The sequence below is a fragment of the Homo sapiens genome, chromosome 3 (genome assembly GCF_000001405.40).
Source record: "Homo sapiens chromosome 3, GRCh38.p14 Primary Assembly".
Taxonomy (NCBI): domain Eukaryota; kingdom Metazoa; phylum Chordata; class Mammalia; order Primates; family Hominidae; genus Homo; species Homo sapiens.
Genome location: NC_000003.12, coordinates 8,297,191 through 8,323,316, shown reverse-complemented (window position 1 = coordinate 8,323,316; position 26,126 = coordinate 8,297,191). Strand labels below are relative to the sequence as shown.

General features: G+C 40.6%; 1 long non-coding RNA gene across 1 annotated transcript in view, besides 1 other annotated feature; it reads left to right on the top strand.

The window, feature by feature from the left end:
- LMCD1-AS1 (LMCD1 antisense RNA 1) overlaps window positions 1-26,126 on the top strand; it is a 280,512-nt gene that overhangs the window by 178,342 nt on the left and 76,044 nt on the right. The gene's annotated exons all lie outside the window — the stretch shown is intronic.
- Window positions 2,408-3,607: an enhancer, noted in NCBI's record as "CDK7 strongly-dependent group 2 enhancer chr3:8361398-8362597 (GRCh37/hg19 assembly coordinates)". NCBI's record gives its function as "activates an origin of replication core promoter dependent on BRD2, BRD4, P300/CBP, MED14 and CDK7 cofactors, with strong dependence on CDK7, by STARR-seq in HCT116 cells {active_cell/tissue: HCT116}" and the evidence as "EXISTENCE:reporter gene assay evidence [ECO:0000049][PMID:35650434]".

The window sequence follows — 26,126 nt, the reverse complement described above, 5'->3', positions numbered from 1 at the left end:
CCCAGTAAAAGTGGGCTAAATATTTGAGCAGACATTTCAGAAAGAAATATACCAATGGGCAATAAGGACATGAAAAGATGGGCAGAATAATTATTCCTTAGGGAAATGCAAATGAAAAACATAGGGCATAGGGTGATGATACTACAGAACCATTAAAATAGCTAACATTAAAAAGATTGACGACACCAAGTGTTGATGAGGATGGCAGGAATCAGAGCTCTCACACACTGCTGGTGGGAATATAAAATGTACAGCCACTTTAGCAAAAGCTTGACAGTGTTTTTTAAAAGAGTTAAACAAACACCTGTTGTATGAGCCAGTCATTCCATTCCTAGGTATTTATACAAGAAAAATAAGAACATATGTCCATGTGAAGACTTATATCCACATTCTCATGCCAATTTTATTTCTAATAGCCTGGATAGAAATGACCCAGATATCCATTAACAAATGATGTTATACTCATACAATGAAAAACTACCTAGCAATCAAAAAGAATCAACTGTGGGTACACACACAACATGAATGACTCTCAAAATCATTATTCTGAGTAAAACAGGCTGGGCCAAAAAAGGGGTACATAACATATGATTTCATTTATACAACATTCTAAAAAATGTAAGTTAATCTTTAATGTCAGAAAGCAGGTAAGTGATTGCCTGGTACAGCAGTGGAGGGAGGGATGAATTTCAAGGGGCACAAGGAAACTGTTAACATTTATTTTACTGTATATATTGCCGTTGTCCAGATTACATTTAGCATATTTTCCCCTGATAAGTAGAATTTGAAAGTGCACTTCCTTTTTCACATTTCCTGCCTACATTATTCCTAATAAGAAAATTGCTTGGATGCTTGTCTTTTCTACACAATTACAGTTATTTTCGTCATCCATTATAATTTGCCAATTAATAAGAATCTTTTATACTTTTTCTTTTACTCAACCAGACTGTATATGCCCATTCATTATGTGTATACCTTTTATTTTTTTTCCCTTTTAAATGAACCAGAAATTCAATAAAAGCAATGTAGTGAAGGAAAACAGCTTTGTCTTCCAGAAAGGAGTCACCCAATAAAATTATAGCTTTAATTTTCAGCCTGACCTTTCTTGTAATTTGTTTGAAATTTTATGATTTCAAAAGAAATAGACTGTTCACTGAGGAATGCACTGTCCACCTTCCCAGGGGAGATTTTGAAAGCCAAAGCTCTGAGTCTAATAACCTAATGGCAACAGCAACGTTGCTATTTGTTGTCCGTTTCTACCTCTATAAAGACTGGTCATATAGTCTTTCAGTCATCATCATTTTCAAAGTTACCTATTGGCATTTCCCTGATTAAAAGAATCTTGGTACAGTCTAGTATTTCTCAATCTTTCACATGCATATAAATCGCCTGCGGATCTTGTCAAAAGGCAGGTTTTGATTCAGTAGGTCTGGAGTGTGTCCTGGGAATCTGTATTTCTAACAGGTTCACAAGCGATTGCCCATCCTCCTGGTCCATAGACCACACTTTGCATAACAAGGGCATAAATAATACCAAAATAGCACAAAACCCTCATATTATTCGAGTTTTCTTTCAAAGTAAATTCCACTCTGTCAAGAGATAACAACTCAGCTTAGAAAATATTTAAAGTAGAACATCCAAAATCTTGCCAATATCTTCGGATTTTATTATCAAATAGTCATCATGGACATATTGTCTATTCTTTCTGAAGATGAGACCAGCCAGGAAGCCGAGCCAGCTAAGGGGCCTAAGGGAGTACAGAGAGAGAGGGATACTAGAGTGTCTCTGACCTATGCTGCATGTGCAACACGAGGATTGTCTTTAACGTGGTAGATTGAAGCCTTAGGCTAATTTTCAACCCTTTCTGCATCCATACCCTTTTCTCTGCAGCTTTGCAGTGGAATAGTGGCAGTTCTACTCCTTGACTTTGGGCTTGGCTGTAACTGGCTTTAGCCTATGGGATGTTAGCATATAACATGAGCAGAGTTTCAACTTGGACTCGTGCAGTGGGACCTCAACCTCCTGCATTTTTACCTTTGTTGTGAGAACAACATGCTCAGGTGAGCCTACTGGTCTCAGCAGGAGGGTGAGAGGCGTGCGGAACACAGCTGCCTCTGGCTGAATTAAATGTAAATCAATTTACTCCAGCCAACCTTCAGACACTTCAGACATACTAAGTGTTTTTTTGTTGTAAGCCACTTGAATATGAACTCATTTGCTACACAGAAATAGCTACCTGACTCACTGGAGCAAGGGGTCTGATACAGTAGGACACTGAAGATGGATAGTGAGTTACTGAGGGCAGATCAGGAGTTGGAGATCTGAAAAATGTAAGAACAGAGATAGGAGGTGATATGGTTTGGCGCTGTGTACCCACTCAAATCTTATCTTGAATTTAATCCCCAAGTGCTGAGGGAAGAAACTGGTGGAAGGTGATTGGATTATGGGGGAGGTTTACCCCATGCTGTTCTTGTGACAGTGAGTGAGTTTTCATGAGCTCCGATGGTCTAAAAGTGTGGCATTTCCCCCTCTTTCTCTCTCCTGCCACCATGTGAAGAATTTCCTTGTTTCGCCTTTACCTTCTGCCATGATTGTAAGTTTCCTGAGGCCTCCCCAGACATGCGGAACTGTGGCTGAATTAAACCTCTTTCCTTTATAAATTACCCAGTCTCACATAGTATCTTTATAGTAGTATGAAAATGAACTAATAAGGGAGGTCAAAGCAGATGAAACAGAATGGAGTCAAGGTTGATATCAACAGTTGGATTTTTAAACATTTTTGGTATACACTTGTAGAGTAGATGAGATATAAAGGTGAGCTGAGATGGGATAGATGGAGACTGTTTTAAGCCAACCAGGACTGGGTCTGATGTAACAGGATGCTTTTTTCTCATTGAGTTCTTGGCTGCTTATGTCATGGAGAGAAGATAAAGAGGGCTGGGAGAAAACACTTAATTGATAAAGTAATTAAATTTGAGCATGAATTAACTGAAAACATGCATCTTCTCCTGTTGCTTACCTGCTTGTGAAGACAAAGCAACATTTTTTCTCCTGTATTTGATAGAAAATGCAGAGAGATCTCACCAAACCACTAGGCATGTGGTATTTGGGCTGTTAGTCATAGGTTGCCATACCCCACATATAGGAAGTTCTTGACATTCTTGTAGTCGTTAATTCACTGACTGACTCATTATTTGAAATGTGCTTGTCACGTTTTTATGTGCCCTCATGGATTTGACATTCTTGCATGTGAAACATGCATCTATCCTTTTATTATAATTGTTATAACAGTTAAAAAGGAAAAGCACAATGAGATCTTCTATGCTTGGAAGAAGGGGGTGCTTACAGTTTGGGAATCAGTGAGTATTTATTTGAGAAGAAATTGTATTTAAATTGAAATTTGAAAGGAGTGGGAAGAGCAGTCTGTGTGATGGGAACAGTACGTGCAAGGGACCTTAGGTCATGTGGAAAATGGAAGATGGTCCTTTGGAAGATGTATGACCGATTTGAGGAAATGAAAGGTCAGTTTGGCTGAACAGTGAAGAAAAAGGGCAGATGCCTTATTGGCATGGCCAGGTTAAGAGTTTGGATTTTATTCTAAGACTAATTGAGAGTAATTGAAAAGCTTGAAGCAGGAGAGCAACATTATTGAGTTTGTGTTTTAAAAGATTACCCTGGCTATAATGTGCAGAATCCATCAAAAAGGGATAAAAATGGAAGATGGAGCTTGCAGTGGTCCATGAAAAAGAAAATCTTGGCTTGGATTATAGTGGTGGTAGTGGATTTGGAGAGCTTTGCCCTGGAGTTATTTAGAAAGAAGAATCAATGGTTCTCGACATTGTTTAGGGTGTCACGAGTAAGGAAGGAGGAAGACTGTCTCTGACCTGGTTTGCAAAAACTGATTATGCCATTCATAGAGACAGAAGACTTTGAAGAAAAATGGGTTTGGGCATAAGATCAAGAATTTAGTTTTACATATGTTGATTTTGAGGTACTTGTGATATAACCAAGGGGAAAAATCAAGTAGAGAGTTGAGCATATTGTTTTTTAGCTCAGAAGAGAGCTATGAGTCGGACACATCACTTTGCAGGTTATTGGCATAGAGATGGTAGTTAAGTGAAGGGTATGAAACTGGGAGAAGAGATTGTAGAGACATCTTTGAGGACTATCAACATTTTAGAGGGAATTAGTGGGCAAAGGAGGCCAAGAAGGAAAGAGGAAAACTGCAAGAATGCAGTGCCATGAAAGCAGATGGTAAGCTATATTGAATGCACCAGAGAGCTAAGTCAGCTGAGGCATGAAGCAGGTCTGTTGAAGTTAGCAATGGGGAAGTCATTAATAAACTTAGAAAGAGTCACACAGCAAGATGGAGGCAGGAGCCAGATTGTAGTGGGATAGAAGGGAGCAGAAGATGAGAAAATAAAGATGTAAATGTCTGATTAGAATGAGAATATATTCTCCAAGCAGCTACAATTTCTGTTTTTGGGAGAAGCAAGCTTGATGTGTGTGGCAATAGGAAAACACCAACATGAACTGAAAAAGTATGCATGGATAGCTCAGGAAGTTAATAAAGTCTTTACCATTGCAATTAGGAATTAAATTGCATTCGTTTGATTTCAAGATTTCATGATTTGGATAATGGCTTTGCTCAAAACTACCTTTAATTTTTTCTATGAAAGAAGGGTAAATAATATTTGCCCTTGTGTAAATAAGATTAAGGGGGATGGTTGCCATGCTCAGGAGGAGACAGGTTTCGTGCCATCTTCACAGAAGACCATAAATCTGATGATTGCTCATTTTTCCCATCTCTGTTGGATACAAAGTTCCACGAAGAAAAAAATCTCAGTTGCAGCTTCAGCACCTGGACAGCATTTGGTACAGAATGGGGTTCAATTACCCTTTGTCAAATAAATGAGTGCTAGTTTTATTTTTTTTTCATGTTCTAGGAGTTACTATAGTACTTGGAAGTAATACAGAGATATCTTAGGAAAAATACTCAATTTTCTTGACCCTTCTGTGTGTAACACAGGCTTGACATTTTACCAACAAGCCCAAGTGAGTGGGGTTATACTGCTATGGAAAACATGCCATCGAAACGAGGTCAGCATGACTTAAGCTGGGCCAGATGGGATTCTGCTTACAGGAAACCTTGGGTAAATAGCAAGTGAGTGGAGTATTGCAAGGTATAATTGTTTGCATTTGCTGGCAAACCCCTCCTATTACCCAGCCGCCAAAGGATGAATGCTTTGAATTTGAGTATGCAGACCTGAATGGTACCTGAGGCGCCTTAGAAGGTTAGAAGATTCCCCCCTTGATTCCTCTGTAATGCCAGCAAGGATAAGAGAGATGCTAGGCTTGGCTGTAACAAGTACTTTCACTTTTTACTTAATCAGAATTTGCATTGTTTTCTCATTACAGTATTAAAGTGTGAATTTTGCCTTCATGTGCTGTGGAAATGACAAAGCCCCATAACAGTTGGTTTTATTCGTAGCACCTTCCGTTTTAGAATCTCTGAGGATCTCATAAGCTGATAATGTTCTTTCCAAATGAGCTATTTTGTAATCACACTCCACATGATTGTTTAAAATGATTATTATTGTTTCACCTTAATATAAAAAGATTTATTTGCCAATAGAAAAGCCAGTTTACCCAGGAATACTGGTGTTAACTGCCTCTTGGCTCATCAAGGTCTGTGAGAATCTGGAGACTGTGAAATGCAAATGTTAGTCTCTGGTTCTGTATAATTTTAACAAAATGAGGAGCTGAATTTCCATATTTAAAGGTGAATTTTGCTATTCTACCTCAGTGCTCAGAGTGGGGTGGAACCTAAGCAGAGGAAAGAAAGATGAAGAAGGGAAGGGTTCTCATTTCGTGAAGGTATAGTGGGGAGGACAGAGTGAGACCTGGGCATGCAATCTTCCCTCTCCTTGCCCCAGGGTTTAGGATTCGAATTGTCTTTCCAAAGGCTGTGAAGGCTTCTCTTGTCCAGCTTTTCTAAATTTTCACTATGTCCTGGACATCAGCTTCTGTTTTGTTCTGATAACTTCTAAGCAAGTGTCATCTTGCTGAAGAGCTCGTGTCACTGGCCAATTTAAATGTCTCTCTTTATTGTCCCAATCACCACCTGATACTCAGTGATATGTACCTGACAATATCCAGACTACTTTGAAGTGAAAAACGTGGTGATGCTTGGAAGTTTCTGTCTTCTCATCTTTGTACTCTCTCATACCAGGACTACATACGTAGGTAAGGGCTACAGCGTTTTTCATTAGCCATGTAAGATGACTTTCCTATTCTGAACTCAGCTCCTTTTCATTACTGAGATAACTAACTCTCTAAATAATGGTGAACAGACTTTTTTTAATAAAGAGACAGGGAGGAAATATTTTAGCATTTGTGGGCCATATGGTCTGTGCTGCAACTACTTAACCCTATCATTGTAATGCAAAAGCCACCATATGCAATATGTAAGTGAATGGCTGTGGTTAAGTGTCAGAAAAACTTTATCTACAGAAACAGGTGGTGGGCTGGATTTAGGTTATGGGTCATCATTTACCAACCCTTGCTCTAAATCATAGATCCCATTGTTTCTTTATCTTCATAATGTGGGAACAGGCCTACATTGGACCCTAATATTCCTTTGGAGTTCTGACAACTCCCAGTTTATTTTGTCATTTTCACATATTCAGTAGAGGATGCTTAGACTTTTGGAGGGCAATAGAGCCATCTCAGTGGCCCATGAGGCTTTCATGATCTGGCTCTTTCTGATCTAATCTTCTACCCCCTCTTCTTTCCCTGCTCTGCCTCAACTCTTCTGGCCTCCCTGTTGCTTCCCTAGCACAACAGACATGCTCTTCTTCAGGTCCTTGGCACTTGCTCTTTTTTTTTTTCTGTTTGGAATGCTTTCCCCCGCAGATAGTCACAAACCTTATTCCTTTTTCTTTTTTCTTTTTTTTCTTTGAGACAGAGTCTCACTCTGTCGCCCAGGCTGGAGTGCAGTGGCGCGATATCCGCTCACTGCAAGCTCCACCTCCTGGGTTCACGCCATTTTCCCACCTCAGCCTGCCGAGTAGCTGGGACTACAGGCGTCCGCCACCATGCCTGGCTAATTTTTTTTGTATTTTTAGTAGAGACAGGGTTTCACTGTGTTAGCCAGGATGGTCTTGATCTCCTGACCTCAAGATCCGCCCACCTCAGCCTCCCAAAGTGCTGGGATTACAGGCTTGAGCCACCACGCCTGGCCTATTCCTCTTTCTTTAGGTCTCTACTCAGATGTCACCTACTGAGTGAGACCATTTGGTTGATGTCTAGTCAGAAACGTAGGAACAACTGTAGGTATTTCAGAGAATTTAATAGAGGAGATTGGTTACAAAATGAAAACACTGGAGGAGCAGAAGGGATAGATGAGCTCATGCAGAGATTAGCTGCAGCAGGAGGGCTGAAGGCATAAGGGGAGATGGTGTAACCAGAGTCCAGGCTCTCTGTGCCACAGACAGGCTGCTGCTGGATCTTCTCCCACTCCCTCTGGCACTCAGGAGCTAGAAGAGATTTGCTTCTGATATCACGGCTGCCAGAGGCATTAAGTGCTGTGCAGCTACTGCTGTTGGTATCATTATCTGAGCAGGGACTCAGCAGCCCTACACTCTGCTGTGGTAGCTGCAGTTGCTTAAAACACCATCAGGAGCTGAAAGAATGTCGCTTCCCCTTCCTCTTGCCTTTCTCTTTTCTCCATTCCTTGACACCCATTGCGGGAGCCTACTGGCTCCCAGCTGCAAGGGACTGTGGGAAATGTAATTTGCAGGCTTACAGGCCCCTGCTGCAGAGAGTTGAGCATGGAAGGACTGGAAGAAAGGAGAAAAACACTGGGCCAGTAACCAGCATGCCCTGTACACTCTGTCTAAAATCATAACTCCCAACAATTAATTCCTTTTCCCTGCTTTATTTTCCTCCTTAGCATGCATTACTGCCTGGTACACTATAGATGTACTCACTTGTTTGTCTCCTGATTCCATGAGTGGAGACTCCACTAGGGCAGTAATTTTGTTCACAGTTGTACCTACAGTGCCTAGAATAGTGTATCATAGTGGGAATTCAATAAATATTTGGAGAATGGGTAAATAAATCTCTTAACAACACCCAAGGGCTACTTCTAAAAATTATGTGGTTCACTGAGTGGAGTTTGACACTCTTAAAGTATCACAGAAAATAAGAGGTTAGAAGAAAGTCTGCCTCGCTCTTTCTTTCTCTATCTCTCTATTCTCTTTTCTCTCTATATATGCATACTATATTTATATTTTTTCCTAGAATGTATCTGCTTCCAGACACTGACCATTTTTGTAGTCATTGAAAACCTGTTCAGAGAGGGAATGCTACATCTAAATGTACTTCTTTAGTTGTTTGGCAAATGTTACAGTGCCTTTAGAGAGAATTGTATGAGTTTCCTGGGGCTGTAATAGCAGAGTTGCATGGACTGACTGGCTTAAACAACAGAAAGCCACTTTCTCTCAGTCCTGGAGGCTAGAAGCTGAGATCAAGGTATCAGGAGGCTTGGCTTCCTCTGAGGCCTCTCTCCTTGGCTTACAGATAACCATCTTCTCCCAGTGTCTTCACGTGGTTATCTCTTTGTATGTCTGTGTCCAAATTCCCTCTTCTTGTAAGGACAATAGCCATATTAGGTTGAGATCCATCTTAATGGCATTATTTTAGTTTAATTACCTCTTCATAGACTTTATCTCCAAATATAGTCAAATCCTGAAGTACTGGTATTCCAGACTTCAACATATAAATTTTGGTGGAGACATAATTAAGCCCAAGGTAAATCTTCCCCCAAGTTTTGTATGTTGCAGCCTGGGTTTCATCTTTACAATTTTTAAACCAATGCTTACAAGTCTGAAATTGAAAACCTTTTGAACTTGCCATCTTCCAAGTCTTATTTTTCTAGTTTCCTCCCAAATAATTGAGGGAAAATGGTGATGTGGTGCTTCTTATGTTGTTTTTCTGAACAAGAAAACTTCTATGGATGTCTTCAGAGGTGAAGACTGAACAGATTTTTTTTTTTCTCTACAAGCACCCTGTGGAACTGATTGGATGCTGGTATCTATCAAGAGATTAGACTTCAGCCATAGCAACAAAAAAAATCTGCCTTCTATTGGCAGGGAATGGAGCCCTGTGCCCTGCCTTGCTCTTTAGTCCAGTGATGAATGTTTTAACACACTGATAAAGCAGTTTGCATAGCAAGGGACACCTTGGATCATGAGATTACACAGCACTCCTAGACTGGCAAGGCTGGTCTTGTGCTCATAAGTCAGTATTCCATTAGGGGAGACCTCCAACTCAGCAGCTGATGGACAAGCCGGTGACTGTGAGGTAGAGAAAGACTCAGTAAGAAAACATACCCTTTTTGACCTTGATGTAAATCGAATCTGTCACGGAACACACAGTTGGGTTCTCATCTTGTCTGTTTGCAGCCTTGTTCTACGAACAGCCTACCAGATATCTTTCCATTCTCTCCCTGAATATTGAGTGACCTTGGAAACAGCCTAATCTGTCTTGGCAGATTGAAGATAGAGAAAACAAGCAGGGGAAACAGGGCTGCTGTTTCCTGCTATTGATCAGTGACTTGAATTAAAGCTCATTATGAGCTGGAGAGATGTGTCAGACTCGGGTGTCAAGGGTGGAAAAACTCAAAACAGACTCTGGCAGCCAGGAGAAGTGATGAAAACAAAGCACACACACACACACACACACACACACACACACACACACACACACACACACCAGAAACCTTTGTTCCTCTCTTGGGTTCATTTACTTTTGGTTTTTGACCATTTCTCTCCAATCATAGGACTTTAAAGGCTATAGAAAGAGATTCCTCCTAGAAATCAGTCATCTAGTCTAGTCCAATCTCCTCCTTTTAAATATGGGTAAACTGAGGCTCAGAGGGATGAAATGACTGCCCAAGCCCCAACAGGGAGTTAGCAGCACAGGTGGGATGCTTCACCCAATCTGACTCAATTGAAATTCAAGTTCTTTCTGCCACATTTTGCAGCTTCTCCCTCTGTCCGACACTAGGTCTCAGGGTCCCAGCAATTCGACTCTTGAATGTCAAGATCCTGGCTCCAGGAAGAGCAATACAGCATCCAGAAATGAGCCAGAACTGAGAAAAAACACACGGGGGGTTGTGTCCTCACTGACACTTATTAGACATGTAAGTTTGGGCATACCATTTACCTCCCTTGGTCTTACTTTCCTTATTTTAAAAATGGACATGCTGATGCTTGTTCTTGGTTGTCTGGGAGTATGATAGTTTGGTATCAGTCTATGAATATACTTGTAGATGTTAGTTACAGTGTGTCTCTTCTGGGAAGAGTAATCTCCCACTCAGTTCATATCCAATAATGTAGCCAGATGTAATTAATCAAATGGTCCTAGCAGGCTCAGGAGGCCAGACCCAAAGCTGTGCATTTGTGATCAGGAGAAGGAGGAGTGGTATATTAGTCAGGGATCTCCACAGAAATAGAACCAATAGTATATGTAGACATAGAGAGAAAAAGAGAGGAAATTATATTAAAGAATTGGCTCACATGATTGTGGAAGCTGGAAAGTCTGAAATCTGCAAGGCAGGCTGCAGGCTGGAGATCCAGGGAGAACTGATGTTGTAGCCCTCGTCTAAAGACAGACTTAAAGGTCTTTAGAGAAAAGACTGAGATTCCCCAAGGAATGTGGAATTCTGCCTTTCACACCACCTTAAATTGGATGAGGCCTACCTACATTATTGAGGGTAATCTACTTTGCTGAAAGTCTACCAATTTAAATGGAAATCTCACAAAAAAATTGCTTTATAGCAACAGCTAGACTGATGTTTAAAATTAAAATTTACAATTACAAGTGGGAATTTACAAGTCTGCAGCATTTGAGAGATAGAGGTCAGAATGTCCTACATGGGAACACAGGGAGGGGCAAGTCCGGGGGGCAGAGGAGCCGGGCAAATGAGATTTAGCCCAGAATGCCAAGCCAATCTAAAGCACCCATTTTGTTGAGACTCATACTTACCTGTGCAGCTCTGGGAGATGCCAGGGTTCTGTGTTCTCCCCATTTTTGACCAGAGAAAACATCAATAAAAAGAGAGAGAAAGTAATCCCCTTTGCTGCCACTGCTCTTCTCCAAATATTTCCAGAGGGAGCCAGTCTTTACTGTCTCCCAATCCCTTTTAGCACTGTTCCTTACTCTTCCCTCTACCGCTGCCTCCCTGCCAAGAGGCAGCACCATTTCCAAAGACCTTCTCTGTCTGCAGGAAGAATGGGTCCTAAACTCAATGTTTCCGTGCGAGGAAAACCCAACCACAGTCTGAGTGGAGGCAGACATTGAGAAAGAAAACCTTAAATATGTCTCTGGAGGTGCGCATGCTGCCCGAGAACCATTGTGTAGTCAACATGCCACAGATACATTCTGCAAAATGTCATTTCCTTTAAAGGTCACAAGCTCTATTGATTTCTAATTCATTTTCTTTTGTGTGTGTAGCAGATTCCAAACAACTATTGCTTACATGATAGATTAGATGAGTCGATGGTTTAATATGGGAAGAAGGTCTGGGAGTTCTTGTCCAAGGGGAGAGAAAAGGGGAATTTTCTTTAAGGCTACCACTATCAATGATAGTTCTGTTTTTTATATTTTGCCTATTAATCATAGTTTTCCTTCCTTCCTTCCTTCCTTCCTTCCTTCCTTCCTTCCATTTCTTCCTTTATTCTTTTTCTCCTTCCTCCCATAAATATTTATTGAGTGCCTGCTATCTGCCAGGGTATTGTGTAATGTTATGCGCAATAACTATAGACTTACTATTACGAAATTTATATTTTAGAGGAAGGGTGGCAAAGACAGACATTAAAAATATAAAGTCAACAATATATACAGTAGTTAGAAATTATGGTAAGTGCCATGAAGGAAAGGTATAGGGGCCGTGAGAGCCTAGAGCAGGAGGACTTGATCTAGATCATGCTGTGGGATAGTGAAGAAGGAGGAACAAGTGACATCAGTACTGACAGCAGAAGGAAGAGAAAAGTTTGTTAGGTGAAAAGAAAGAACAGAACATTCCAGAAAAAGAAGAAGTATATGCTGATGCCCTGATGTGGAAGGGAATTGCCCCCATTAGGAGCAGAAAGAAGGTCAGAGAGTTCTGGAGAGTGGTGGGGGGAAGGTGGGAGATGGGTGGAGACAGGCGGGGGCTTTCCTATCAGGTTAGATATATCCAGGGAGGCCATTGAAGGTTATAGGTTGGATAGTTATGATCAGACTTGGGTTCTGAAAGACTACAAGGCTGACATTTGGGTACCGATGGGTGGTCTGGAAGGGGTACAAGAGGGCTGGAAGAGAAATGATGATTGGATGTGGTTGATTTCCATGGAGATGGAGAGAAATATATGGAATCCAGAGAAATTTAGGAAGTAAAATCAGCTGAATTTACCTAGCCTTGGACAAGGAAGTGAGTTGATTGGCTTGACCTCAGTTTTATCCTTCATACAGTGGTGCTGATATTATTACTTGGCTTACTTTCTTTCTTTCCTTTTTTGTTTTTTCAAACCAACAAATTTTCTAGTTTAGTGGTTTATTCCATTCTAAATGTTTAATAAACTCCTGTCTATACCAGCAGTAGCCAATTAATGGCCTGAAGTGTTAACGCTCACTTCCAACTGAGAAATTCTTAAGTCATGATAGTATTTTTCTATGATTTCTTGAAATGTAAATTTCCCCCGTCTTAACAGGCATTTTTCTCAGCTTTATTCAGGTATAATTGACACACAAAAATTGTGTATAATTAAGGTGTACCACATGATGGTTTGATATATGTATATCTTATGAAGTGATTTTCACAATCAAGCTAATTAACATATCCATTACCTCTTATAGTTACCATTGTGTGTGTGTATTGTGTGATGAGAATGCTTAATATTTAGTCTTTTAGCAAATTTGAAGTATACGATACATTATTATTAATTATAGCTACTATGTTGCACATTAGATCTCCAGAACGGGTTCATTTTATAATTGAGAGTTTGTACATTTGACCAAAATCCTCTCATTTTCCCCACCCTCTAGCTTTTAGCAACCACTTTTTTACTCCTTGTTTCTAAGACTTCAACTTCTTTGCATTCCACACGTAAGTGAGATCATGCATGCAGTGTTTGTCTTTCTGTGTCTGGCTTATTTCACTTAGTAGAATGTCCTCTAGATTAATCCATTTTGTCACAAATGGCAGGATCTCCTTCAATTTTAAGGCTGAATAGTGTTCCATTGTGTATATGTACCGCATTTTCTTTACACATTCATTCATTGGTGGACACTTAGGTTGTTTTCATATCTTGGCTGTTTTTAAAAATCCTGCTGAACATGGGAGTGGAGATATCTTTTCAAGATAGATTTTAGTTCCTTTGGATACAGGCCTAGCAGTGGGATTGAGGGATCATATAGTAATTCTATTTTTAGTTTTTCTGAGGAAGCTCCATAGTGTTTTCAATAATGGCTGTATCAATTTACAATCCCACTAACATTGCCAGGGTTCCCTTTTCTCCACATCCTTGCCAGTACTTGTTATTATTTGACTGATAATAGCCATCCTAACAAGTGTAAGGTGACATCTCATTATGGTTTCGATTTGCCTTTTCTTGATAATTATCCATGTTGAGCACTTTTATATACTTGTTGGCCATTTGTCTATCTTGTTTTGAAAAATGTTTGTTCAGATCCTTTGTCCAATTTTTAATCAGATTATTCTATTTATATGTTTATTAATTGCCATTGAGTTGTATGGTTTTCTTATATATTTTGGATTTTAATCCTTTATCAGATATATGGTTTGCAAATGGCTTTTATTCCACAGGTTGCCTTTTCAATTTATTGATTTGTTTTTCTTCTTTTTGTGTGCAGAAACTTTTAATTTGATATAGTCTCACTTATTTATTTTTGTTTTTGTTGACTGTGCTTGTGGTGTCATATCCAAAATATAATACCCAAGGCCAATGTCAAGAAGCTTTTCCCATATGTTTTTTCCTAGGATTTTTATGGTTTCTGATCATGTAAGTCTTTAATCCATTTTGAGTTGATTCTTACATATGATATAACTGTCTAAATTCATTCTTTTGCATGTAAATATCTAGCTTTCCTAACATCATTTTTTTGAAGAGACTATTCTTCTCCCATTGTGTATTCTTGGCATTTTTGTCAAAGATTAGTCAACCATATATTCATGGATTTATTGATGGGTTCTTTATTCTGTTCCATTAGTCTTTGTTTTTATGCCATTACCATACTGTTTTGATCACTATTGCTTTGTAATATTGTTTAAAAGCAGGTAATGTGATGCCTCCAGCTTTCTTCTTCTTGCTCAAGATTGCTTTGGATAGTTAGGGCTTTTGTGGTTCCATAGGAATTTTAGAATTGTTTATTCTATTTCTGTAAGAAATATCATTGGAATTTTGATAGACATTGTATTGAATATGTAAATTACTTTGGGTTTTATGGGCATTTTAAGAATATTAATTCTCCCAATTTCTAAACCTGAAATATATTTTCATTTCTTTGCAGCTTCTTTAATTTCTTTCATCACTGTTTTATATTTTTCAGCATACAGATCTTTCATATCCTTGGTTAAATTTATTTCTAAATTTAGTGTTTTATTCTTTTTGATGCTATTGTAAATAAAATTTTCTTTACTTCTTTTTTAGATATTTTTGTTAGTGTACAGAAACACAACTGATTTTTGTATGTTGATTTTGTATCTTGTAACTTTACCAAATTCATTTATTATTTTTAACAGGTTTTTGGTGAAGTCTTTAGTGTTTTCTACATACAAGATTATGTCATCTGCAAACAGAAACAATTGTATTTCTTTCTTTACTATTTGGATGCCTTTTATTTCTTTTTCTTGCCTTATCGCTCAGGCTAGAACTTCCACCACTGTGTTGAATATAAGTGATGGGAGTGGGCATCTTTGTCTTGTTTCTGATCTTAGAGCTTTCAGCTTTTTACCATGCGTATAATGAGAGCTGTGGGCCCTCACCTACTTTCTTTATCCACAAACAGTTCTCCAATGTCTCTCAAATATAGCTCACTCTACCAGGCACTGGGAGTATGACATGAGCAGTAAGTCAGTCCTGATCCCAAGGAACTTACAGTCTACTGGAGGATCATCAGGCAATTGCCATAAAGAGTGACAGATACCATAATTCAGATGAAGAAAGAAGGGTTAATGAAATCCAGAGGAGGGGCACCTAGCTGCTCTGGGAAGTCAGGGAGGGCTTTCAGGAGGAGGCAATGTCTCAGCTAACCATTTAATCATGTGTAAGTGTTTTCTAGGTAAAGGCAGGTGTAAAGGGTGGAGAAAGGGCCATGTAGAGATGAGGTAACACTTTATAAAACAGTGATTCTTACTAAGTAGCAATTTTGTTCTCAGAAAGTGTCTGAAGACATTGTTATTGTCACAACTGGAAGGGGTGCTACTGGCAACTGTTGGAAAGAGGCCAGGGAAGTGTCTGAAGACATTGTTATTGTCACAACTGGAAGGGGTGCCACTGGCAACTGTTGGAAAGAGGCCAGGGATGTTGCTAAGCATCCTGCAAAGCACATGACAGCCCCACAGCAAAGAAGGATCTAGCCCCAGATGTCAACAGGGCTGAGCTTGAGAAGCCCTGCCATACACACTTTACTTTGTTTGCTTAAAATTATGTTTGTTATAGGAGGTTGATTTTGTTTACCTAAGCTATAAAATGATTCCTGACCTTATTTTAATTTAGACCGTAACTACAAGTATTTTGTAGATATTGTTGCTAATCAGAAGAAATCCTTAACCCCCGAGTCTAGTTTTTTCTTTTTTGGTCAGGGAATGGTAAGCAAATAAAGAAGTTTCTTTAATAAATTTATATCAAAACACTGCATGTATTAGTCTGCTAGGGCTGCCATAACAAAATCCTATAGGCTGGGTGGTGCAAACAACAAATATGTACTTATTTATTTTCTCACAGTTCTAGCTGGCAGGGAAGTCCAAGATCAAGGTCCTGGTAGGCTTCAGTTTTTGGTGAGACTTCTTTCTGAGTTGCAGACGGCTGTCTTCTGAGTACTCACATGCTGGAAAGAGGGAGAGAAAAACAGAAAGTGGGAGTGGACAGGGAAAGTGTGAAGAAGGACGGGGAGAGGAGGGAGTGTGTATTAGTGCTCTGGTATCTCTTTCGTAAGGACATAAATCCTGTAAGATCAGGGCCCCACCTTTATGATCTTATCTAATTTTAATTATTTCCTTCAAGGCCCCATCTCCAAATACAGTCACCTGGGGGATTAGGACCTTATCATATCATGTTTATTGGGTAGAAAACACAAACATTCAGTCTATAACAGAACACAAAGCCTCATTTTTTCACAATAGCAAATGTTCAATGCATCTTAAGCAGTCATTAGCATCACAGAGCAGTGGAAGTGCAGGTGCAAGTCTTCTGGACCTGTAGCAGGTGTCAGGGCCAGGGACTCAATTCCTTCCCAGCGGATCTTCAGGTCTCCACTGAAATGTGACTTCCTCAGGAAAGCCTTCCATGTTCTCCTGGAATGAGTTCAGCTCCCCTGTGGTTCACTTTCACAGGGCTCAGAACGTTACCTTCCTCACATTGATTTCTGGTTGCAATAAATGGTTAACTTCCTCCACTGCTAGACTCTAAGTAAGATTTACAAATGCAGAATAGAATATCAGTCTTTTTCCTCCATGGTATCTCCATCCTGAGCATGTGTTTGTGAGATAAATGAATGCTTAAAATCAAGACCCTAGTTCACTTCAGATAGCAGACAGGGAGGTTGTTAGACATCAGTAAAGAGTTTATACTCTGAAAGAGAAGGAGGTTTTAATCTTAGTAATTTATTTGACTGCTAAATAGGGAAACCAAAGCTAAAATCCAGTTGAGTACATTAGGCTAACATGGTTGGTGTGCAAACACATGCTAGGGGCTCATCCAGCTGTGGGTTTATTTGTCCACCAGCCTAACTTCAGGCAGCACCCAAAGTTCAGACTCAAGTTGTGGGCAGTCTACTGCTTTGGTGGGGACGGTGGCTGTGGTGCCAGATGGGGCCACTTGGCTGAGGGAGGGCATCAGGGCTTTCAGTTCAGGAGAGCTGATGGATGTTGCTCTTCTCTGTTGTGTCACCAGAATTCTGTGCCTTGGGTTGGGCTTACTTGCATCTCTGTGTATCACTCTGCTGCTTCAAAACTCATCCCTTCTGTTGATGCTGACCTGAGGAAGCTTGGGAAATGTTTGCTGCATTGGGTGGGATTGATGAGCTGGCTTTAAAAAGAAGCACGAATGCTTTACCAGGACTCCAAAATCAACAACAACAGAATGTCTTTCTAGGATCACTCAAATGGACCCATTTATTCTTTGCATACTCCTCCAATTTTTGGATACACTTTTCAGTTTGGGAAAAAAGCACAGAATCCTGCATGTAAACTTTAAGACAACGGGATGTATCACAGTGTTTGTTTTCAGACAGTAGTATGCCTTTAGGATAGTCTGAAGAACTGGTTAAAATATAGATTCCTGAGTCCCACCACCAGAGAATCTTGCTCAGCCAGCTTGGAATGGAACCCAGGAAACTTCAGGTGATATAAGGCAAGGGGTGTATGCATCACACCTAGAATAATGGTCCCTGCTCCTGATGAACACACCAAGTACCCAAGAAGGGCACCAGAGTGTGAAACAAGCATGGTTAGGTGATGAGATGGCCTGGGTACAGTCACCTGTTAAAGTGCAGATTCTCATTCAGCAGGTCTGGGGAAGGAGGCTGATATTCTGCATTTCTAATGAGCTGTGAGAAGGCAGTTGTTGCTGGCCCCTGCCTCACACCTTGAGTAGCAAAGATGTAAAAGAGTCACCAACGTTAGGGCTGTGGAGTCAGATGGGCATAGGTTTGGATCCAACCTGTTTTCTCACTGTGTGACCAGCCTCTCCCAATCCAGGTTTACTTGTGTCTCAAGTGGGAAATGATGCAGAAATTAAATGTGACAATAATATACATAAAGCATTCAACATATTGATTAACATGCCATTAGTCTTCCATGAGTGCAAGCTGCCATTGCAATTTTAATAATAAATCCTGCTAATTCAATGTAAATTAGTCAAAGATGTTTGTTTTATCATCCTTGCCATTTTATTTTGCTAATTTTGTTTCTATGCAGATTGAGGCAATGTTTCTATATCTATCATATAACACATCTGGAAGATAAGAAAATGGAGTCATTTCCCTACCAAACACCCAGCCCATGCAGTGCTGTGACCATAGTCCTTAATAAGATGTTGTGACATTAATGAACATCAAGACATCTGAATGAGGGTTTATTTCCCCTGGCCCCAGATATTGGCCATTATGTTGACAGAGCTGGTGCACCCAGATCTGGGTTGATGTCATTTAAAACTGGGAGATTACTCTGAAAATTTCAGCCCAGGTAGGCTGTTTGACATAACAGGAACCAGCATCCCATTGGGTGAATTGTTTGGGTTTCAGCTACTTGATACACACATTCCAAGTGTACCTAGTGATGTAGTAGCCTGTTTTGTTCTGCCCTAGTTTGCTCGGATCATCTTTAAAGTTTATCTTGGAAAAAGCAAAGGCCCTGAGGGCAGGGTGATGTTTATCTGGTGGGCAGATAATGTGGCATAATAGGTAATCCCTGAGATTTTGGAGTCCTGTAGACCTGGGCTCAAATCCTAATTCTACGACTTAATACCTGTGTGACCTTGCCTAACCTCTCTGAGTCTCAGTTTTCTCATAGCTTCACCAGTGGGAATTCCTTTTCTAGCAGTCAATGGCCTTAATACCATGTGCCCTGTCACAGGTGAAGCTAGAGTCAAGTACATGTGGCCTTAATATCATGTGCCCTGTTCTAGGTGAAGCTAAAGTACTGGTCCCTGCAGGTCAACTGTGATGGTTTAAGCCATTATTCCATGTCATTGGTACATGTTTTGACTAACAATATAAATTCACATTAAAAACTTTATTTTAAATACAGCCTGCTAGTGTTTGAGTGTCCACTGGGCTGGACACTGGGGGTGACTGAGATGTATAAGCCGTGGTCCCAGCTGTGATGGGTACACCAAGTACCCAAGGAGGTGAGCACATGTATTCAAGCCCCAGAATGCAGAACAAATGGTGCTAAGTGGAGAGAGCAGACTTGGGCGCAATTCACATGGGTGATGTGACCTTCAGGCTGTGTTGGGTTAAAGGGGAAGGAGGCCAAGGGCTTCCCACAGCTGAAATCCAACTCTTGGTCTTGTCTCTTTGATCTTGTGTCTTAAACTTCTGACTGGGTTCTTCCTAGCCAAGCCCTGCTTTACTGTGCAACATATTGCAGGGTCTAAATGATGGCAATGCATCTATATATTAAATTACAGTGATCTGGAGCATTTTGTTGCACACAGGCATCAGCTAAAGGTTTAAATTCTCTCATTAGAATTTTTATACCCTGAGGTGTGCCACTAGGAAAATGGAACTCACTGTTTTTCTTCTCATCTGAGCAAAAGGGTGACTATTTTGTTTTGTAATGAGTGCATAGCATGGGCCATTGGCTGGAGTTGTGATAGCCTATAAATGATTTCCGGTGTGATTCAAGCCTCTTGAATCCTCCAGACCTGCCTGTCTGGGTGGACAGGGATGCTGTGTTAGACATGGCCAGGAGCCAGGGCTCTGGAGTTGGATGGGTCTGGATGAAGTGTCCTTCATCCAGCAGCTGTGTGGCTCTGAGCAAAGTACAAAATCTCTTAGTGTCTCAGTGACCCAGCTAGAAAGGATAATTGTGATTCTTAGAATTAAGTGAAATGGTGCACTTACATTAAAATGCTAGGCATGGAGCCTGACACACGGTAACAGCTCAAAATCTTGTTTTATGGTCTTAAAATTTGAAGAAACCTGGAAGAAGTCTAACTGTTACTCTTATGCAACCATTGTGAATTAGGGCTGAAACAATGCCAATTCAGCAATCAATTGAAGATGGCCCTGTATATTTCTTATGGCTTCTATAAGGACCAAATGAAATAGCATAGACCTATGTCTGGATTCTGGAAGGTCTTCAATAAATGTCAGTTTCTCATTCCTTCTCATCAAGAGCAGATATCGTCTCTATCTGGATTAACAGTCATTATTCTGGGCTCCTTCCCACCCTGACTCTTCATGCATTAACCTTGCAAAATGGGTTAAGAGGAGTCTGTGTTATCAAAGCTCCCTTGAATACACCTGTGAGCCATATTTGGAGATTAAATCAAATGTTATTAACTTTCCAATTACTTCCAGGTCAAAGGTGATGTTGCTGAAAATACGGCCAACATAGATTTCTAGTATAATTATTCCTTAATTCGATGTGCGTACCTGAAGTAACCTGGCCTGCTCTACTTAAATAATTCAGTTCAAGGGCTACCTGGTGTACAAGCTGTAGCATCTGACGTTAAAGCGTCTGCAGCCTATTCAAGAGCAGGTATGTAAAAAGCATGAAATAAACTTTAGTGGAATAATAGGCTGTGTGTCTCGGCCATTCAGTGTTTATAAATAGCAAGCACCTACTCTATGACTGATGAACTCCTATTCATCCTTCAGCCAGACCCAGATGTCAGCTCAGAAATCAGTTCTTGGAAGCTTTTGTGTACCACCCTTCTTATATCCCCGTCCACATGCTCATGGTGTAAGTCCCTACCATCTGCTCTCCTAGGATTCTGTAGTTTTCCTTCTTAGAGTTTATCTCTGTTTACTTGCTTACCATTCTATCTTCAGTGCCAAGCAGCTTGGCACACAGTAGGTGTTCAATACAGGCTGGTTAATCAGCTGGCTGCATTCGGTGGAATGGGTTGTGGCTTTCCTGTGGGTAATGGCACAAATTCCATGTGGGAAAGAAATTGCTAACAATAAAACCTAGACCGGAGGAGTCTGACCAATAGTGTTTTCACTACTTATGGCAAAGTCACGTTCCCACAGTTGATTCTCCAGACCAGGGTGCGACATATGGGATAGTGGTTTCTTTAGGATTTAAAAAGCATTGGTACAGGAAGACATTCTACCACCTCTGAGTTCCAAGTGCTGAAGAAATGGCAAAATTCAGTTGAAGAACAGACTTCTGTCCAGTAGAGGGAGCTCCCTCATTAAAAAGTCACACGTCCTTGCTGAAAAACTCTGGGTTAGGTTTTCATAAACTTCTCTTTCTTCTTAGAATCATAAAATCTCAGAAATAGGAAGGACCAGAAATCATCTCGTCTAACCACTCTCTCAGAGTGAGAATTCCCTCTAGAACCAAGGCTGTTAGCCTGCCTCTCCTCTTTTAGACCCTTCCCTTTCCTCACCAAGATGCCCCCTTCTCTCTTTTAGAAGTATTTATTAAACACCTACTGTGCGCCTGGCACTGAGGTTATAGAGACCAACACGACGAGCATGTACCCACCTCTTTTTCTACTTACAGCCTTGCTTGATTCCCTCCCCAGTCCGGGAAGCTCCTTACTCCTTGAGGTGGGATGTTCTGCTCACTCTCTCTCTGAGATGCTCTGACTGTTCTTTAAAAATTTTTTTTTGAGAGATGGGGTCTCACTATGTTGTTCAGGCTGGTCTTGAGCTCCTGGCCTCAAGTGAGCCTCCCACCTTGGCCTCCCAAAGTGCTGGGATTACAGCTGTGAGCCGCTGTGTTTGGCCTTCTGACTGTTCAAACGTTCCTTCCATGAAGCCAGAATCTATTCCCTAATACTGTCCATCCTTTGATTCCAGTTTTTGCTTCAGCATCGTAACTGGCACACAATGGGCTTAGAGCTATGTGAGCATTCTGCCCCCTGAGTTCCCTTCAGATATTTTTAAAACTAGCTTGGGCTCCCTTGAGTGGCTTCTTTCATTGCCATCACTATTTGATCCCGACCTTGGATTATGAACCTTCCTTTTGAGGCCTGAGGTGGGCTGCTTGAAGTCCTAGCAGCTAATATGCCTTACCACAGGCAGAATTTTACAAGTCAGCAAACCTGGACTTTAGCTTCCTTTGTAACACTTCTGAGTCCTCTTCCCTCTTCCAAAATTTCTATATTTAGGAGCTCAGAGTGGTTCTGTTACCATTTTGAGGTTGACCACACCCAAACCTCATCTAACGTGTCTGTTTACTACAGGTATATGGGAATTCAATGAAGAACACTTCCCTGGGAGAGTAGAAGTTTAAAAGGAAAGTGTAGGAGACAGCCATCTGAACCTAAGCAGTGCAGTGTATCAGGAAAAATGGTCTTGAATGGAAAGAACAAAACCAAACCGGAATAAAGAATCGCCACCCAAACAGGAGAGAAATCAACAAGAGGGCACCTGGCTAGGCCTGGCATGTGGCTGCTGCTCAGAAAATTTAAAAAATGAGTTTGAATGAATGAATGGATGAACATATTCCAAATTTCCTGATCCTGATGAATGACATTCTTAGGTTCTGAGAACGTATGAGTGGGCAAACTTATTTGATAGCCTCTGAGGAGGTGTGGAAAATGAAGGGAGTACTGTATGATGAGATGAGAAGTATGTTGTGATAAAAATATATATACAAGTATTTATAGATTATTATATATGTACATAGACCAATTGTACTAGATTTCAATGCAATATGAACCAAATTGACTAATGGAAAATATCTTAAGGATTATCAAATTTAGGGTGGTAAAGAGGCTTAAGCCAGTGTGCCAGTCCTGTTCTATTGATAGGGCTTCTCTATGGAGAAGAATTGTGACACTTCATTTTGGCTCAGTTGAAAATGATTGATTAGTGATGCCTGCCGTGGGTCTGGGAATGGGTCATGGCGATACACATGTCAGGGATTTGTTATCCCTGAGTGGTCCAGTGGTCTCTCTCTTCGTAGGGCAGAGGCTTACTCAAAGTCACACAGCAAATTTACAACAAGGTATCTGGGTGTCTTAACTCAATTCCAGTGCTCATTTCCACCACATTGCCCATTCTGACTCTTTGAGTGTGTCCTAGCTTAATATTCCTCTTATTGGGGGAGAAAGAAGCAGTGAGAGAGAATTTCCTCTGAGAGAAAGTGGCAATGACATGCTCATTAATGTAGTGATCATGTAGAGTCATCTTGACCCACTTGAAGGCCTGGGGGTCTACCCCTCTTACACCACGCTGACTGAGTGCCAGATAGGATAGAATGGTGGTCCAAACCCTGCAGAGGGAAGTAGAAGGTGGGTCAACAGACATTGGATGAGCTTAACTCACAGATCAGAAGTGACTGAGTCAGCCGGGTGCTAATGTGTTAGGGCTGGGAGGAGGGGGGTCAGGGGCAATCTTGAAACTAGGGAGAAGACTCCTTTTTTGTTTCTTTCTCACAAGAAGCCATAGCCCTGGGAGGAACTTTTCAAAGAAACTGCAGGAGTATAGAGACAGCACTGGGAATCTTCCCAGCCTTCATTTTCTTTCTGCCAGCATTCACTGAGTATCTGCTTTGTGTAGGGAGATCAGGTCATGCAGAAGTGGGGATGGTGCCTTCATTCTACCTTTCTAAGAGCACTGAGAATTTCAGGGATACCATGATCACTTGGTTTTCTTCAAACACTGTTTGTTTGTTTGTTGAGGGGAAATTTCTTCCCCCCAAAATTAAAGAAACTAAATGGGGGCTGGTGTTTGAGTTAAAACTAACCAGAGGCCTCCTTAGCATATATGGCCCAGCCTTTTTACGTTGGACAAGATACTTAATCTCTCTGTGCCTCAGTTTCCTCATCGGCAAAAATGTACCCACCTCCTAGGTTGCTGTGAGGATGAAATAAGTGGATTTATGCAAAGCATTTAGATGGATGCCTGGTACATCGTAAATGCTACATATGCATTGGCTATTTTTTAATTAAGTAAAAACTGTATATATTTATGGTATATGACACAAAGTTTTCATATATGTATACACTGTGGAATGACTAAATCAAGCTATTGATATTCATATGCATTACCTCACATACTTACCATTTGTGTGTGTGTGTGTGTGTGTGTGTGGGTGTGTGTGATGTGAACACTTAAAATCTATCCTCTTAGCGTTTATTAGCCCTGCAAACTTGGGTTAACACTGTAATTTTTTTTTTTGCCTCCTTGTTTTCATACTTTTTAAGATAACTTATACCATGGGTTTCCCCATGGAGAGAAGGAGAAATAGGTATATAGGAAAGAAAAAGACATCTCCTTTTTCTGAAGCTAAAGATTTAAAACATTTGAGATGAACCTTCTAAATCAAGAATCATAATCTTCAATGACTTGACAGTGCAGCCACAGATTGAAGTAAGTACTTTGCAGAATAGAATCAATGGAAGAACCTTAGAATTCTAAGGTTCTCAAAACTTGGTTGGAATGACCTGGTGCATATTTTGAAGCACCAATTGTGCTGTTATAGAATTCTCTCCTGGGGAGATAATGAACTGATAAGATTTTTTTTTCTGGCTACCACACTCATGGGTTATCAGGAAAGCCCAGGTACCAGAGAGGAACACAGTCATATCTGCAGTAGGCACCGCTCCTGGGTCAATAGCTTCGTATTGTATAGGAGATTGGCACATTGCCAGTTGATTCTCAAGGTGTTGAGATGGCCTTAGTTGATGAAATATTGATCTCAGGCTGTTGGTTTCAATGGAATTCAGGAGTGAGTTGCAATAAAACAAGCTTGTATTCAGTTCTCTAGAGAGTTGCCATTCTGTTAATTTCTCTTTGCATGTAACTTTGCCTTCCATCCTGAGAAAACACAAGTTGCCTTTCTTACAAAACGGACCTTTATGGAACGACAGGAAAATGTGTTAGGAGAAAATAGCAGAGGAAATCCACTTGAGACCTCCAGTGTTCTTTCTGCAAGCTCTGCTAGGTATAGAACGACTCCAAGGCAGTGATGATTTTCAAGCCAGGTTGTAACCAAGGTCACGTGTTCACTAGATTGCCTTATAACTGCAGTGAGATATTTCAAATGTTGGGTAATCAAATCTGATGCAGGAAGAAGAGCTTAAACTTCCAAATTAGGTGCAATACAGGCTGTCTGTGTCTTTGAGACTCCTGAGGTGAGACTGAGCTGAGTGAATTAGAAGCAGGCTTTACTTTGTTTCCTGGTGTACTATCAATTAAGTAATTTCCAGAAGCAACGGCACAGATGGCGTTTTACTTAGTTTTATAGGGTAGTTTTCTACCCTTTTTTATAAAAGGAAATGACAGCAGGAGGCAATAAGACTTTCCTTATTACCCTTTTTGTACTTTCTTAATGAGCCTATTTTGCTCCTACTCTGTGTCTTCCTGGATACGGAGGACAAAAGCATTTTGTCCAGCCAGGTTCCATATTCAACCCTCAATCTATATTCATTTTTTATAAAAGATTTGGCATAATATCATAGGAAGCATTGTTTAAGAGCCAGCCCTCTAAACTAGACCTACGTCTACGACATAAATATGCTTGATGGTATCAAATATGCATCTGGACTTCTTAAGACACATCTTAACCTATATTCATCTGCTATGGACTGAATTGTGTGCACCCCAAATTTCTATATGGAAACCTTAATCCCCAGTGCAATGGTATTTGGAGATGTGGTCTTTGGGAGAAAATTAGGTGGGGCCCTAATAATGAAATTAATATTCTATTGAGAAAGGACACCAGAGAGCTTGCTCTCTGCCTCCCCCCTCCCTCTCTTTGCCATGTGAGGATACAGCAAGAAGACAGCCATCTGCAAGTCAGGAAGAGGGCCCTCACCAGAAACCAACCATATAGGCACCTTGACCTTGGATTTCTAGCCTCCAGAACTGTGAAAAAATACATTTGTGTTGTTTAAGCTACTCAACCTATAGTATTTTGTTATGGCACCTCGAGCTAACTAAGATAGCATCTTAGGTATTACGAACTTAAAAATAGCACAACTAATGCACTGTGGGAGTGCTGGGCTGGGCTGAGTTCTCTCTAACAGAGGGAGAAAGCACCCGTCACTGATAGCCCTCTGAGCCCTCAATTTTTTCCTCCTATGCCACAGTGTCTTGAATTCAGTCAACCTTTGTAGTTTATTTCTTTGGGATTTATAGTGATTTTCTTCTTTGTGGTAGCCCTTTCTTTTATTTTTAAATTTAAATTGAAAAAGGAATACATGTACAAG